At 36.2% G+C, this 17,372-nt stretch overlaps 1 protein-coding gene and 1 pseudogene across 11 annotated transcripts in view; both read left to right on the plus strand.

Moving 5' to 3' along the window:
* The window catches only part of RAP1GDS1 (Rap1 GTPase-GDP dissociation stimulator 1), a 182,475-nt gene that overhangs the window by 92,755 nt on the left and 72,348 nt on the right, over positions 1-17,372 (plus strand). The gene's annotated exons all lie outside the window — the stretch shown is intronic.
* Positions 1,372-1,524, plus strand: LOC124900919 (uncharacterized; annotated as a pseudogene).

Consider the following 17,372-nt stretch of genomic DNA (forward strand, 5'->3'; position numbering starts at 1 on the left):
TGCAAGCTCCGCTTCCCGGGTTCACGCCATTCTCCTGCCTCAGCCTCCCGAGTAGCTGGGACTACAGGCGCCCGCCACCGCGCCCGGCTAATTTTTTGTATTTTTAGTAGAGACGGGGTTTCACCTTGTTAGCCAGGATGGTCTCGATCTCCTGACCTCATGATCCACCCGCCTCGGCCTCCCAAAGTGCTGGGATTACAGGCGTGAGCCACCGCGCCCAGCCCAAAAGTATTCTTTAAACCTTGTTCATTTTAGTTGTTCTTGAATTATACATTGTTTGAACATAGAGAATATTACCTGTTTTGAGAACTTTTGTCCTGGAGTTTTTCCTATTAATAAAATAGAAATACACACAGTGATATTTTGTCTCATATTGCCTTGGTTTTTATGGGCATAGAGTAATTTTATTTCCTGTGTATTCTAAAGAACCTTGAAGTTAGGGTAATAAATGTCTAGTTAACAAGATTATTCTTTTGATGAAACTGAAGTCCATTATTATAGTATTTATCATATCTATTTATCTTATGGGATATACAATATAAAGTTCTATGGATATCCTTTAAGTTATGAAGTTAATTTTTTTCATTTTATTATGAATATTTATAACCAACTTATCCTCATTTAGTTCAATGGAAGTCATAGCTAAATGATTAAGCATAGTAAATACAGCCCATATTTTTATACTTTTAAACTTTAGTTCAGGAAAATGAAGTTTGAAGTCTTAAAAGTGAATAAATGTAAGAAGTGATTCATTACTTAATATAAATCATGTGATGAAAATGTATTTATTGTGCCATGCTTTCATATGCATATAATTTCCATAGACTGCATGCTTTCTTACCCTTTTATTCAAAATTAAATTCTGTCAACTTCTTTGTGATTTTTCTAGAATGATTGCAGGACAATTACAGTGTTTATACTTGAATTACAAGAATAATATAAAAGCCTTGTAAATGTGATGTTGTGTGGTTGATTTGGGAATTTACTTGAAATGCATTTCTCATTTTATTTTCTGACAACTGGAAATTTTTCCTTTTTAAACAAGTTTTTAGTGGCTTCTATTTTAATTCATCAACCTTCTTCACTCTCGGGAATGTAATGCTTCATTTTTAAAAGGAGTATAGAAAACTACATGATAGCCTTGTGATCAATACAAAGAATCTTCTTCTTTCAAATAAAGTATGTTCTAAAGAGTTCATATATTTGTGTTTTATCTAACTTACCTATGGGGCTAATCAGTTGATTTCCATTTTATTAATGTACTCCAAATGAATAATTTTTTTAACATAGGTTTATTCAGGATGATAGTAGGCTTACAGTAGATAGTAAAGTTGATGTAAATAGAAAGTAGTATAAAGACTTCACTATTGGATCACTTCTCGGCCTGTTGGCTAAGATCAAGTGTAGAATTCACTATTGGAGATAAAAATTTGAGAAATTCATACATGTTCTATAGATTTTTACTTTGACACATGAAAAGTAAAGCATTTGCTAGCATATTTCAGTTAGCATAGTGTATTTGAAAGGAGGTGAGCTCCAACTGTAGAAAGAATTACCATAAAATCCGTGGAAATCTTTGGAGAAAAACTAGGTCAGATTTCAGTTTTACCAGCCTTGACAGTGCCCATTTTAGGAACTTTTCCTAATGGAAGAAAACGGCCTTATATAATCCTGACATGAGGTAACAGACTGGCATACCGCTAAATGGGACGGAGTAAAGCTTTGTTGCTGATGAACTTTTTGAATCCCAGTCTCCTTCTTGCATATAGAGATGAAAGAATCACTCACTGGCTGGGAACGTTTTTCATTTAAAATGCTTGGTCTCTTTTCTTCCAGAGAGCTGCAAGGCACTTCATTTATGTATTTCTCTTTCGAAGTATCCGAACAGACTTCTGATATAAGCAATATTTTAAAATGCTTCTGCCCTTTAACTTTGCCAAAATAACTCTTTTTATGAGAAATTTGACATCTTTCAGATCAGAGAAGAAAGGAAAGTTGTATTTCAATTTGGAAAGAAATAATCAAAATATGTGCGATTGATGGGATACACCAGGGAATGTGGTTTTAAAGCGCAGTAGTATTATATTTCAGAAATGCATGCCTTTGGCCTATTTACACTTCCTTTTCAAAGGTTTTATAAAAAAGAGGATTATGTTCTTATATAGCTGTCTTTGTGGCATTCCTCATTTTATTGATTTGTTTATATAACTGTACACATTTTAAATTGCTGATATACTTAAATGGCCTTATAGTTTTAAAAAGCTTTATGTTAAATTCCCATCCTGTATTTATAATTCCTGGGGATAAATTGGTGATTTGAGACTAGTGTTCTGTTTTGTGGATATTACTGCCTGAGGTCAGAAAATAATTGTTACTTGATCTACTGGTTAAAAGATATTAGTAGAGGCTAGAAGAAAATGATTACGTGAAATTAAATATTTGTGCCTTTTTATACACCGAGGAAGAATAATGTACAAATCAAATAAAAATGTTTTAAAATTAAACAAATATACCTCTTTATAGAAATAAAATGTATGCTTATTATATAACTGGTACTATTATTGGAAAGATATGTACACTTAAGCTTATATGATATGCTATCATACATAAGATAAAAAGTTGTATTCTTCCTTGCTGATGAGTAAATATTAAAATGAGGTAGTAATCAGTCTTGCCAAAGCCAGTGTTTATGAAGTGAAATATTGTTTATTCATTGACATCAAGTATAAATGGGAAGGATGCTGAAACATATGCATGTATCCGTTTGTATATTGGCGATTCTTGTGCTACACTATTTTAATATAAAGTCTTTATTTTTATGTAAAAATTCTTTATATAAAAATAGTGTAGAAGGAATTATAGTTCTTACTGCAAATACTGAAAAATAGTTACCAATAATTGTACAATATTTTATCATGTAAGTTGGTCAGAAAAGTATATATTAATATGATACAGACATACTTTGAAATTGCCAAAGTAATCAAAATATATTTGCAACAGTTATATTCAAAAGGGAACTATTTATATCCAGCATTTAAAATAAATGTTTATTTCAGTGATACCAATTAGGTTATTTGATGAGTTATATTAGGTATGTTATTAAAGTCTCATGCAAGTCTTTGTATTTACCCTATTTTCTGTGTTATTCAGTTTTAGAATAAAATAGAATTATCAGTCAGTAAGTAGCGTAAAAATAAGATTCTTCAGTTTTCATCAATCTGTTGTATTTTATGAGTTTATTATTAAAGTACATCATGTGTATAAGAATAAACAACAATATGTTACTGCTACTTTTAGAGATAGTAGTTATGACTATTATCACATGAAAGCATTCCACTATAAAGACATTCTAAATATAGATTGAAGTAGATGTTGTTTTGTAACACTATCATAAGCTCTAAACACAAGCATATGCCATTAAAGAGCTTTTTAAATGGTAGAGAAAATAAAATGAACAAAGGAACACAACCTGAGGACAATTACAGAGCACACACTAAATATGTTTTTTTATCAGAATGAAAATTAATAAGAATATTAACTGTAGCTGTTTTTTAAGAAATTAACCAAATAGTGCATTGCTTAGAAAAGAATTTGTTTACAAATTAATATAATTATAAATGTATAAAATTTTAATATAACCCCTAGAAAGTTGGTATTGCAAATGAATGTGATTTCCAGCTCCACCATTCACTAAGTTGTCATTTAATTTTTCTGATTTTAATTTCCTCCTTGGTAAAGTAAGCTTGTGTGGATTAAGTATGTTTATATAAAAAGTGTGTGTGACTCAGTGTAATACATACAATAACATACAAAAGGTATTTCCATAAAGATATAAAAGCCAGAAGCCATATAAAGAGAGGCAAAGATAAATCTGGTGGGAAGCAGGGATAATGTGCTTAACTGTGTATAAGCACTGATTTCACTTGAGCTTCTTGGCAGCCTATGTGAAAAAACAACTTGATATGCCTTGTAATTTTTATTTTATGATAAAAAGGAATATTTTAGTTCTTTAATCAAACAACTTTTGAGACAAAATAGTAGGAGGGACTTATCAGGATGTCATTAATTCCCTAGATGATTCTGTGCACATACCTAGTTACAATATGTAAGGATATTTACTGGCATTATAGTGTACCTAGTGACGGTTCTACAAAAGTTGCCCAGATGTTTTCCATGTGATTGTTTCTTGTACTAATCTTCAACAGAATCTGGGAAATAATACTGAGGACTTTACAGAAGGTAGTTTTATTTGGGTAGTATATCCCGAGTGTGTTGTTTTTTGGTGGTTAAACTTGCTTAAAGGATTCAGTTTAAAAATTTGAAAAAGTTTTGACTTGAATATATTTCCTAGTTTAGTTTAAAACCAGAATACAATTCTGGTTTCCATTCATTGTACTTTATCCTTTTCTCTGTGTTGTGTGATATATCCAAGTTCTATTTCTTGAGACCAAAAACCATGTTTATCTCTGATTTTTGAGCCCATTATCAGTTTGATGGAAACCTGACTAGCATGAAAGTGAGTATTTTAAAATACCACTTTAGTTGTGGTACACAAATCTGTACATATGTTAGAATTGCTTAGAACCATACATGCCCATACACATACACTAATGCATGTAAAAACTGATGAAATATGAATAAGGTCTGACATTGTACCAATGTCAGTGTCCTGGTTATGCTATTGTGTAGTAGAGTTATGCAATGTTACCATTGGAGGAGGCTGGATAAAGGGTACATGAGACCTTTCTGTGCTTTTTTTTTTTAAATAACTTCTTGTGAGCCTCTAATTACTTCTAAATAAAAAGTTTTAAAACCTCACCTATCCAGAAAGCATATATATTCTCTTCCCTATGGGAAATGACCTTGTTGTTTCAGCAGTACCTGAGGTGGGAGGTGGGGGCAGCAGGCATACACATAAAATTTTACAGCATAGCTCACAGCAGTAATTTTAATGAGTTTGTGCAATTAATGTGAAAGACAAAAATGCCTGTAATTTTTTCTCCCTCCAAATTGGACTTTTATGGAAAAAAATCAACAAAAACCTAACAGCCCTAAAATAAGATTTACGGAGTGGGAATTCGTATTTGTTGGGTTAGGACCTAGGGACAAAAGCAGAGTAAATTTCCTAGAAAGGGAATAACTGATAGGGAAATATTATAGACCAAAAAAAGTGAAATTATGAACTCAAGTAAACAGGTTGATATTAAAATGAGAAAGGACATTTCTGCCATAGAGAATAAAAGACAGAAGATAAATGAAAGTATAAAAAAACCTTTAAGTAGTAAAGAGGGCACTCAAAAGTGTATTTCTGGGTATAGTTCTGTCTTCCCAGTAAGGTAGATGTCAGGCTCATCTGTTAATAAAAGTCAACACCAAAATGATGGTAGGAAGTTTGTGGTTTTGGGGGAAAGTTCAAAATTGGGGCTGTAGGACATGTAAATCATGAAGATACGATTTTTTAAAATAGCCAAATAGTAATATAGGTATGCTATGGTAGAGATCTTGATTGTGCATCCATTAATGTATAGTGTGCTTAAAATGTCTATAGGCTAAGGAATTATTTTGACTTTGATATGTGGACAGGAAGGAGCCTCTGAAAGTAACTTGAAGAAATTGATATTTTCAGTTTTGTAGCATCATATAGTCTAATTGGAATGGACAGAGATGTGAGGCAGAGATATCAGGAAGCCATTACAGGAGGCCGGGTGTGGTGTGGTAAATAGTGACTGCGGCAGAGAGAACGAAATTATATTGTAAAGTGAGAGACAGTACTCAGATAGTTTATTATCAGTTTGGCTGGTTTTTGCGTAGCACTGCACCAGGTTTATTTAAGCAATGTAAAGTACTCTATCTCTTCAGATAGTTTACACTTTGAGAAACTATGATCTTTCCATTTTTGTACTTGGTATTAAATTTAAATCCCTCTTTTATTAAATGGTGTTTGGAAATCCAAGATTCTATAAAGTTTACCTTAAAATTGTAGGACAAAGAACACATATTACTGCTTTTTTCCCCATGCTTGATTACTTTCCAAATACTATGTTATAAAAAGCTAATGTCTTAGGGAAGACATGAAATAGTAATTTCGAGTAATTGTTCTTAATTTTATAGATACGAAAGTAGAGGCAACCTGTGAGAGAGTATTGCACGTGGCAAAAATATTAGATGATTTTTCTTGGGTTCAATAAGAAGTCATATATGGTTGCCTTCCCCCCCAACCCCACCCCCATTCTCTGAGTCAGAAGTCTGAATGGCTTTAGAACTTTCCTTTCCTCATTAAGAGGACTTAGGTAGGGTGGGAAAAGTCTAATTATAGAGGCCTACTTGGGGGTTTAAAAACATTTTTTGTCTAAATCTGTTTTTTCCCCTTACCTTTACCACTCTCATTTCACCTGTTAAAGTCAAAGTTTAGATATGTGAAACATAAGATTTCCAGTCTGCTTATTGAAACCCTGTCAACACATATTATCCTCTGCTCTTTTTAATAGGGTTTTGTTTACATTTTTAAAATTTTCTTATTTGTAACCAAGTTGAAGTACTGAGAACTTTCTCAACTTTTAATCAGCCTTTTCCTTGCTACAAGTAGGGTGCATTTTCCTTGGCGGTGAGGAAATATGAAAAATAAATGCTACGTAAAAGTGAATAATTCAGGGCCAGGCATAGTGGCTCACGCTTGTAATCCCATCATTTTGGGAGGGCGAGGCAGGTGGATCACTTGAGGTCAGGAGTTCAAGAGCAGTCTGGTCAACATGGTGAAACCCCATCTCTACTTTTTAAAAAGAAAACAAAACAAAACAAAACTAGCCAGGCATGGTGGCATATACCTGTAATTCCAGCTTTGGGAGGCTGGGGCATGAGAATTGCTTGAACCCAGGAGGCAGTGATTTAAGATCACAGCACTGTACTCCAGCCTAGGTGACGGAGTGAGACTCTGTCTCAAAAAAAAAAAAAAAAAGAGTGAATAATTTACATTTTTCCTGCTGAGTAAAATGTTTTTACCCGTTGAGAAACTATGCTGTCATCAGTTCAGATTAAATTCTAAATAACTATATATGCATTTGCTCTCACACACACACATATATATATACATATATATATAGTCTAGCATAATTTAAGTATGAAATAGTTTGGTACAAAAACACCTTTTATATTTAAAATATTTATAAAACGTTTTGATCTTGAACAATTGGAGTAATAAATTGGAACAATAAATTACATACATTATTATCTAAATGCTATGTAAAAGTAACTTTTATGGAAATAATTGAGTTAAATGACTTTATAATTTGTGTATAAAGATATTCAGTCTTTTGCTAATAAAATGATACAGAAATATAAAAATATAGGGAGTAAAGAAAGCTTTAGTAATTTCTTTAGGAAATGTATTGCCATTTATGGAGCCTTTATTAGATAAAGGGTTTTTGAAAAAGTAGAATTATTGAACAATTTTAACTAATGTGAGAAATCTGTTGGACAACAGAAATTAATACTAGTATCAGCAGGCACACCAAAAACTGTGTCCATCAAATGCTGGGCCATAACCTCATTTTATGCTGTGCCCTTGGTACTAGTGCTTTGGGAAATGAAAGATTTAATTCATTTACTTTTCCTGATCTGGCATTACAAGTGTAAATGTATATACACCTTGAAATTTTCCCACCTAAATGCAGATTTTTAAACCTGAATATAATGTCACAAAATTGCAAATTGCATGCTTCTCTTTTGATATGTGTGCACTTAACAGTCATGGTGGCTTTTTCTTCATGACTCATTTTTGTGATTTTACTTATGTAATATGTTATAGCTTTTGCTTTTATATCTAGTCTTTCAGGGATTTTGCCTGAATCTGGAAGGTGAATAAATTGCGTTTTGAGTTTTAGAAACGATATTCATGAGCTTTTTTATTTGAATGCTGAAAACATTCGATTATGTCTAAGGTACATAATAGAAATTCACTGTTGGCAAAATTATAGGGGGAAATGTAAGCATTAGAATTTAATTTTCTTTCCTAGTAGACTTCATAAATACATTTTAACTTTATCTTGAAAAACAATGTAGGGTCTGCATGTGGTGGCTCACAGCTGTGATCCTAACATTTTCAGAGGCTAAGGTGAGAGGATCACTTGAGCCCAGGAGTGCAAGATTAGCCTGGGCGTCATAGCAAGATCGCATCTCTACAAAAAATAAATTTAGCTGTGCATGATGGAGCACTTCTGTAGTCCTGCTACTCAGGAGGCTGAGGTAGGATGACACGAGCCTGGGAGTTCAAGGCTGCAGGGAGACATGATTGTGCTACCACACTCCAGCCTGGGTGACAGAGCAAGACCTTGTCTGAAAACAGACAACAACTAACACAATGTAGGTATGTCTATTACCATTTCCCTGCTCCAGGAAATTAAAATAGAACTTGGCAAAATTAAAAGCAGTATATTTAATAGGAATGGGAAAAAAAAAGCCTTCATAATCATGCAGATCAGAATGGCCAGTATTTCAGACTTAGAAAAATACGTTGCTGCTCATGATTTACATCCCTGACTTCTAATCTCTTTGAGTGTGAAAACTTCCTTTTTAACACCACAAATTATTGTTCTCTCCCTTTGAGGATATAGGTCACATATTTTTATAGTAATGATTGTACTTACAAAATGTATGTACTGAGAAGATATGAAATAATGAGTAAATGCCAGGAAATTCTCACTCTATGTCTTTGTATTCTTTGGTGTATACATACTACAATTAAATCCACACATATTGATTGAACCAACTATGTTTAGGGGACACTGCCTGTGATGGGGATTATAGGGGAAAGAATGAGCAAGAAGTCTCTATCCTTGTGAGGCTTTCACAGGAGGAGGTAGATAATAAACAAGTAAATACTACAGAAAAGATATTTATAGATTGTGATGACTGACATCAAGGGAATAAAGAAGGTGATGTATAATAATGGAGTGTATTTGAGGGTGAAGAAAGTTCTCTCTGTGGATGTTATTTAAGCTGAGGTCTGGAAAATGAGAATGAGCCAGCTAAGAGAAGAGGAAGAATATTCCTTATAGAAGTAGAGTAATTGAGCTAAGTGTGGTGGCTCACATCTGTAATCCCAGAATTTTGGGATGGCAAGGCTCAAGGGCTGCTTGAGGCCAGGAGTTTGAGACCAGCCTGGGCAACACAGCAAGACTCTGTCTCTACAAAATAAAAAATGAGCCATTATGGTGGCACGTGTCTGTAATCCCAGCTACTCTGGAGGCTGAGGTGGGAGGATCACTTGAGCCCAGGAGTTCTAGGCTGCAGTGAGCCATCACACCACAGCACTCCAGCCTAAATAACAGTGAGACCCTGTCTCAAAAAAAAAAAAAAAAAAAAAAAAAAAGTGTAGTAATTGTAAAGCCCTGAGAGGGCAAGGGATTTGGTAGAAATTCAGAAAGGAAACCAGGTTATGCAAGATACTGTGAACAGGGAGTATTGTGTGATAAAGTTCAAGAAACAAACAAAAGTGTTGATGATAGAAAGCCTCATGAATCATCTTGAAGTAGTGAGAAGTTGTTGAAGGCAAGAAGTGACATGATCTGATTTGGATTCTAAAAACATCACTCTTGGAGCTGCATGGAAAAGGAGTTGAGAAGCATGGAAATTAAGAGTTAAGAAGGGAAGCATTGAGACTAATTGAAAGACTTTTGTGATTGTCCAGTCACAACATAATGGTAACTTGGATTAAGTTATGGTAGTGTGGAAGGAGGAGGAACTTAGAAAGTATTTGGAGTGATGGATTGGATTGGGAAAGTGCGAAAGGGAGAAATCAAGAGTGATTTCTAGGACTTGAGTACCTGGACAGAAGATGGGGCAATTTGCCGATGTAGGAAAGAACAGAGGTTGTTTTTTGTTTCTGGGTTTTTCCGTCATTGCTGCTTGTTTTTATTTTGTTTTGCTGCAGGCATTATTAAGTCTGAGATTCTTCATAGAGACACAAGAAGAAATGGCACATAGGCGATTTCTATATCTTTATATTCTTTTACCTTTGGGGAATAAATATTCAAAAAGTTAAAATAATCTCCTGCATTTAGCAAAATGTTGTTAACTGTTTCTTAGATGGAATATGTAGATTCAGGGAACCAAGAGAAATTAGAAAGCTTAAGTGAATAAAACTACCTTGAAATCATAGTTTTTTACGTAGGAGGGAATTTAAAAGTCATCTCAGCCACCCCTGCCAAATTTTACAGATAAAAAAACTGAGACCTGAAAATTCAAGTGACTTATCAGAATCAACAGCTAAATTGGTGATAGTGTTGATCTGAAAACCAGATCTCAGGTTCATTGTTTCCGTAAATATATCTGAGGAAGTTATCACTGTCAAATACATAAATGCACTGTCATTAAATACATTTATGCTTCAGTGTGAATAATTCTGAGCACGCAGGTTTTGGAATATGTTTTAAGGATTTTACTAAAAGCTGTTCTTAAGCCAACATTTTGTTTAATTTGTTTAAAGAACACAAAAATAAAATTTACCTAATTGAAAGAACATAGAGTAGAACCAAGTGATGGAGGAAAAACTTTTTACATTTTTCCAAGTATAAAAGCTTTATTTAAAAAAAAAAAAGTATGATGTGAGGGCTGGGTGCAGTGGCTCACACCTGTAATCCCAGCATTTTGGGGAGGCTAAGGCTGGAGGATCACTGGAGTCCAGGAGTTCAAGACCCACCAGAGCAACATAGGGAGATCCCATCTCTACAAAAAAGTAAAAGAATTAGCCTGGCGTGGTGGCACACACCTGTAATCCCAGCTACTCCAGAGGCTGAGACTTGAGCCCAGAAAGTCAAGGCTGCAGTGAACTCTGATCAGGCCACTGCATTCCAGCCTGGGTGACAGAGCAAGAAGACCCTGTCTCAAAAAAAGAAAAAAAAAGTATGTATGTGAATAAACATTCTTTATTATATTTGATTTATTCTTGACATTTTCTCTGTAGAGAAGTGTGTGAAATACTGACTTCCCTTTTAAACTCATTGGGAATAAAGGATGTTCAGATTTGATTGGATTCTTAGTAATACCTAAGGAAACCCAATTAAAAATTTGAGAGTTTGACTCTTCCCAGTAAACCAGCTAGACAAATACAGGTATGTTCTTCAAGTTTGCAGACAAGTATCTATTGCTTTGTATTGTTTTCTTTACACACAAGGTGTATAAAGAAAAATTAAAATTGAGCCAGGCATCATGGCTCACACCTGTAATCCCAGCACTTTGGGAGGCTGAGGTGAGCAGATCCTTTGAGCTCAGGAGTTTGAAACCAGCCTGGGCAACATGGCGGAACCCCCTATCCCCTCTCTACAAAAAAGTGCAATAATTGGCCTGTTGTGGTGGCATGCACCTATAGACCCTGCTACTTGGGAGGCTGATGTGGGAGGATCGCTTGAGCCTGGGAGATCGAGGCTGCAGTGAGTGGAGATTGTGCCACTGCATTCCAGCCTGGGCAACAGAGCAAGACCCTGTCTCAAAAAAATAAAATAATACTGTCCTTCTAATTGTTCTGAATAAATTCACTTTTTCCTGCAATAATGATATAAGGAATTTATACACATCTAACTTTTTTTAAATGTTACTTTTTATCACTTTTGTTCGATTTTTACTGATTGTTAATATACCCTTTTAAATATCTCTATTGGCACAGCAAAGTAAGCTTTTCAGTTTAGTAGCTCTCTAACAAAATATTTTCTAATTCTGTGCTTTAAGTGAAATAAAACGGGGATGAAAGTGGCAAAACCATATTATCATGTCCATGAGCAGCCAAAAAGAAGTCTTTAGTGACCAGAGAAACCTTAACGTAAACAGTAAGAAGCAAGTAATAGGACAGAAACAAACAGATTCTTTACTCAGAATGTTTGTCATTTGAAGTAAATACAAGTGGTGGTTCTCTTTCTCTCACTCTCTTTTCAACATAATATGGGTGAGTTAATAAGTATTTAATATATATGTGATATGGTTTGGCTACATCCTCACCCAAATCTCATCTTGAATTCCCATGTATTGTGGGAGGGACCCAGTGGGAGGTAATTGAATCATGGGGGCAGGTCTTTCCCATGCTATTTTCGTGATAGTAAGTCTCATGAGATCTGATGGTTATTATAAGGGGGAGTTTTCGTGCACAAGCTCTCTTTGCCTGCTGCCATCCATTGAAGACATGACTTGCTTCTCCTTGCCTTTGAAGCCATGATTGTGAGGCTTTCCCAACCACGTGGAACTGTAAGTCCAATTACACCTCTTTCTTTTGTAAATTGCTCAGTCTTGGGTATGTCTTTATCAGCAGCATGAAAACAAACTAATACAGTAAATTGGTACCAGGAGTGGGGCACTGCTGAAAAGATACCCGAAAATGTGGAAGCGACTTTGGAACTGGGTAGTAGGAAGAGATTGGAGCAGTTTAGAGGGCTCAGAAGAAGACAGGAAAATGTAGGCAAGTTTAGACCCCTACAGGCTTGAATGGCTTTGCCCAAAATGCTGATAGTGATATGGACAATAAAGTGCAGGCTGAGGTGGTCTCAGATAGAAATGAAAAACTTGTTGGAAACTGGAGCAAAGGTGATTCTTGTTATGTTTTAGCAAAGAGACTGGCAGCATTTTGCCCCTGCCCTAGAGATTTGTGGAACTTTGGACTTGAGAGAGATGATTTAAGGTATCTGGCAGAAGAAATTTCTAAGCAGCAAAGCATTCAAGAGGTGACTTGGGTGCTGTTAAAAGCATTCAGTTTTAAAAGGAAAACAGAGCATAAAAGTTTGGAAATATGCAGCCTGACTATGTGACAGAAAAGAAAATTCTATTTTTCTGAGGAGAATTTCAAGCCATCTGCAGAAATCTGCGTAAGGAGGAACCGAATGTTAATCCCCAAGACAGTGGGGAAAACGTCTCCAGAGCATGTCAGAGGTCTTCACAGCAGCCCCTCCCATCACAGGCCTGGAGGCCTAGGAAGAAAAGATGGTTTTGTGGGCCGGGCCTAGGGCCTGCCTACTCTGTGCAGCCTAGGAACTTAGTACTCTGCCTTCCAGCCACTCCAGCTATGGTGAGCAGGGGCCAAGGTACAGCTCAGGCTGTGGCTTCAGAGGGTGGAAGCCCCAAGCCTTGGCAGCTTCTATGTGGTGTTGATCCTGCGAGTGCACAGAAGTCAAGAATTGAGTTTGGGAACCTCCACCTACATTGCAGGAAATGTATGGAAACACCTGGTTGGCCAGGCAGAAGTTTGCTTCAGGGGTGGGACCCTCATGGAGAACCTCTGCTAAGGCAGTGCAGAAGGGAAATGTGGGGTTGGACCCCCGCACAGAGTCCCTACTGGGGCATCACATAATGGAGCTGTGAGAAGAGGGCCACCATCCTCCAGACCCCAGGACGGTAGATCCATCAACAGCTTGCACCAGGCACCTGGAAAAGCTGCAGACACTCAACACCAGCCCATGAAAGTAACCAGGATGGGGGCTATACCCTGCAAACAAGAGGGCAGAGCTGCCCAAGACCATGGGAACCTACCTCTTGCATCAGCGTGACTTGGATGTGAGACATGGAGTCAAAAGAGATCATTTTGAAGCTTTAAGATTTGACTGCCCTGCTGGATTTCAGACTTGCATGCAGCCTGTAGCTCCTTTGTTTTGGCCAGTGCCTCCCATTTGGAATGGTTGTGTTTATCCAATGCCTATAGCCCCATTGTATCTAGGAAGTAACTAACTTGCTTTTGATTTTACAGGTTCATAGGCAGAAGGGATTTGCTTTGTCTCACATGAGACTTTGGACTGTGGACTTTTGAGTTAATGCTGAAATAAGAATTTGGGGGAATGTTGGGAAGGCATGATTGGTTTTGAAATGTGAGGACATGAGATTTGGGAGGGGCCGGGGGTGGAATGATATGATTTGGCTGTGTCCCCACCCAAATCTCATTTTTAATTCCCATGTATTGTGGGAGGGACCCAGTGGGAGATAATTGAATCATGGGGGCAGATCTTTCCTGTGCTGTTCTCATGATAGTAAGTCTCATGAGATCTGATAGTTACTGTAAGGGGGAGTTTTCCTGCACAAGCTCTGTTTGCCTGCTGCCATCCATGTAAGATGTGACTTGCTCCTCCTTGCCTTCTGCCATGATTGTGAGGCTTCCCCTGCCATGCGGAACTATAAGACCAATTAAACCTCTTCCTTTTGTAAATTGCCTAGTCTTGTGTATGTCTTTATCAGCAGCGTGAAAACAAACTAATACTGTATGTATTACCTCATCTTGGTTAACTGAGATCCATATTATGCACTGCTTTTTAATAAAAAGAGAAAGGAATGGAGATATGCCAGATTATTTGTTTTGAGTTGGTATATATTTCAGGAAGTCATAAATAAATGAGAATGATGAGCAGTTTTCTTAAAGGTGACTTTATGTTAAAATTGATTGACTAACAACCAAGCCTCCAGGTAAAATATTTAATTTTTTATGAGTGAGATCAATTGCATTATTTTTACATGAAGATCTATATTTAACAATCCTTATTTCCTTTAGCCTTGAACTTTTTTCATCATTTTATGATTTGTATGATTATGTTATTATTAAATTAATTAGAAAAGTTATACATTTAAAATTTGTTTCATAGAATAGGGCTTATTCTTTTCTGTAGCTCTGTTGATTTTGGAGAAGGAGAAGCCCTATATTTACCTATATAAATCAGCTAAAGTTCCACTTCAGTTTGATATGCATGTACTGAAGTCCTCTTATTCACTCAGGAATACATTCATTCTTTTAAGAATTTTTCATTTTTACAGTTTATTAGTCTGTTTCACATGCTAGTCAAGACATACCCAAGTCTGGGTAATTTATAAAGAAAAAGAAGTTTAATGGACTCACAGTTTCACATGACTGGGAAGGTCTCACAATCATGGTGAAAGGTGAAGGAGGAGTAAAGGCTTACATGGTGGCAGGCAAGAGAGCTTGTGCAGGGGAACTGCCCTTTATAAAACCATCTGATCTCATGAGACTCATTCACTGTCACAAGAACAGCATAGGAAAAACAATCCGCCATGATTCAGTTACCTCCAACTGAGTCCCTCCCATGACACGTGGGGATTGTGGGAGCTATAATTCAAGATGAGATTTGGGTGGGGACACAGCCAGACCATATCATACAGTATATGAAAACTTCTTAAATATAATGTTTCAGTGGCTCATCATTCTTTTAATGCTTAATAACCATATACTCACAAATACACACCTATGATATGATCTAGCTGTTTTATTCCTAGATACTTGCCCAAAGACTTATGCGTGAATGTTCAATGCAGCATTATTCACAGTAGCCTAAAACTAGAAACAACCCAATGTCAATCAGTATATTTGAGTGGATAAAAGATATAGCGGTATATCCAAACAATGGAATACTATTTAGCAATGAAAAAATACTTCTATACATGATGACATGGATGAATCTCAAAATCATTAGAGTGAAAATAGACACATAAAAGAATACTTACTGCATGAAGCCATTTCTATAAAATGCAAAGTAATCTATACTGACAGAAAACAGTGGTTACCTGGGACCAGAGGTGGAGGGAAAGATGGCTTACGAAAGGACTTGAGGATTCTTTTGGTTGTGATGAAAATGCTCAGTATGTTGATTGTGGTGATGGTTGCTAAGGTATGTAGAGCTGTCAGCACTCATCAGTTAAACACACTTTAAATCTGTGTAGTTTATTTTACCTACATTTTTCCTTAATAGAGCTAATAAGGAAGGGAATCCAATTAGAATCTAAACAAAAAGGTACACAATTTTTGTTTCTTTTTATATACATGTTAAATTGCAGTAAGGGCTTGAAAGACGTTCTGGAAAACATGGCTATGAATCTCTTTCTGACTCCTCCAGGTAAAAGTAATTTCCTTATTTGTGCTTCCATTTTACTCTGAACACTTAATTTTGTTTGCTGCTTAAATTATATGTTTTCCCTCACACTTCCCTCTTTTTCCCCTCACCCAAGTAAAACTGTGAATTATCTGTCTTTGTATTCTCAGGACCTAGTTCAATGTATGAAACATAGTGAGCATTCAGAAAAGTGATAAAGGAGGGAGAGAATGCTAATTTAGTTGCAGATTTTGAGATATATTGATGAAACTGACTGTGTAATACATTTCATTAATCAGTATTTAAAATAAGGAAATTTTACTCCTATTAAGTAGGATTTAACTTAGGTTATAAGTGAACTAGAGAAAACATGTTAATGTTACCATGTAAATCTACCTATTGTGGATTCATTATTTATAGATATTAGGTGAATGTATTCATGTTTATTATGAACATTTTATTCCTTTTTATTCCTGTGCAGTTTTATATAAACCTCCTTTCTCCTTTTTTCTCCAGTCATTCCTCCAAAAGAGGTATATTCTCTTCTCTATGCTTCTGTAACACACCATAAAAAAATTGCATTAAAGCTTTTTTTTTTTTTTTAACAGAGTCTCGCTCTGTCACCCTGGCTGGAGTGCAGTGGCGCGATCTCTGCTCCCAGCTCATTGCAACTTCCACCTCCTGGGTTCAAGCGATTCTCCTGCCTCAGCCTCCCGAGTAGCTGGGACTACAGGCGCGTGCCAACACACCTGGCTAATTTTTGTATTTTTAGTAGAGATGGGGTTTTGCCATGTTGGCCAGGCTGGTCTCGAACTCCTGACCTCAGGTAATCCACCTGCCCCAGCCTCCCAAAGTGCTGGGATTACAGGTGTGAGCCATCGCGCCCAGCTGTATTGAGGCTTTTATTCTGTTTACTACTCTGTCTTCCTCATTGGAATAGAAACTCTTTGAAAGCAAAGTCTTGTGTTGCTGTTTGTGTCTACTGTACCTGACACAAAGCCTAAGTTAAAACTTAATAAGCATCTGTTCTGTGATTGTGAATGTGTGGATTTATCCCTAGTTTTATCAGTTTTTGTTTTATATATTCTGAAGCTCTGTTTGTAGGCATTTATACATCATTTAGGATTGTTATATCTTTTTTTTTTTTTTTTTGAGACGAAGTCTCTCTGTCACACAGGCTGGAGTGCAGGAGCAGGATCTCGGCTTACTGCAGGCTTCATCTCCCGGGTTCAAGTGATTCTCCTGCCTCAGCCTCCTGAGTAGCTAGGATTACAGGCGTGTACCACCATCCCCAGCTAATTTTTTTTTGTATTTTTAGTAGAGGCAGGATTTCACCTTGTCGGGCCAGGCTGGTCTTGAACTCCTGACTTCAAATGATCCACCTCAGCCTCCCCAAATCCTGGGATTCCAGGTGTAGGATTGTTGTATCTTCTTGTTGAATTAACCCTTTTGTTGTTATGTAATGTCCCCCTTTATCCCTGATAATACTGCTTATTTTTTATGTTTTATTTTTTTAGATGGAGTCTTGCT

Source organism: Homo sapiens, chromosome 4, assembly GCF_000001405.40.
Source record: "Homo sapiens chromosome 4, GRCh38.p14 Primary Assembly".
NCBI classification, from domain to species: Eukaryota; Metazoa; Chordata; class Mammalia; order Primates; family Hominidae; genus Homo; species Homo sapiens.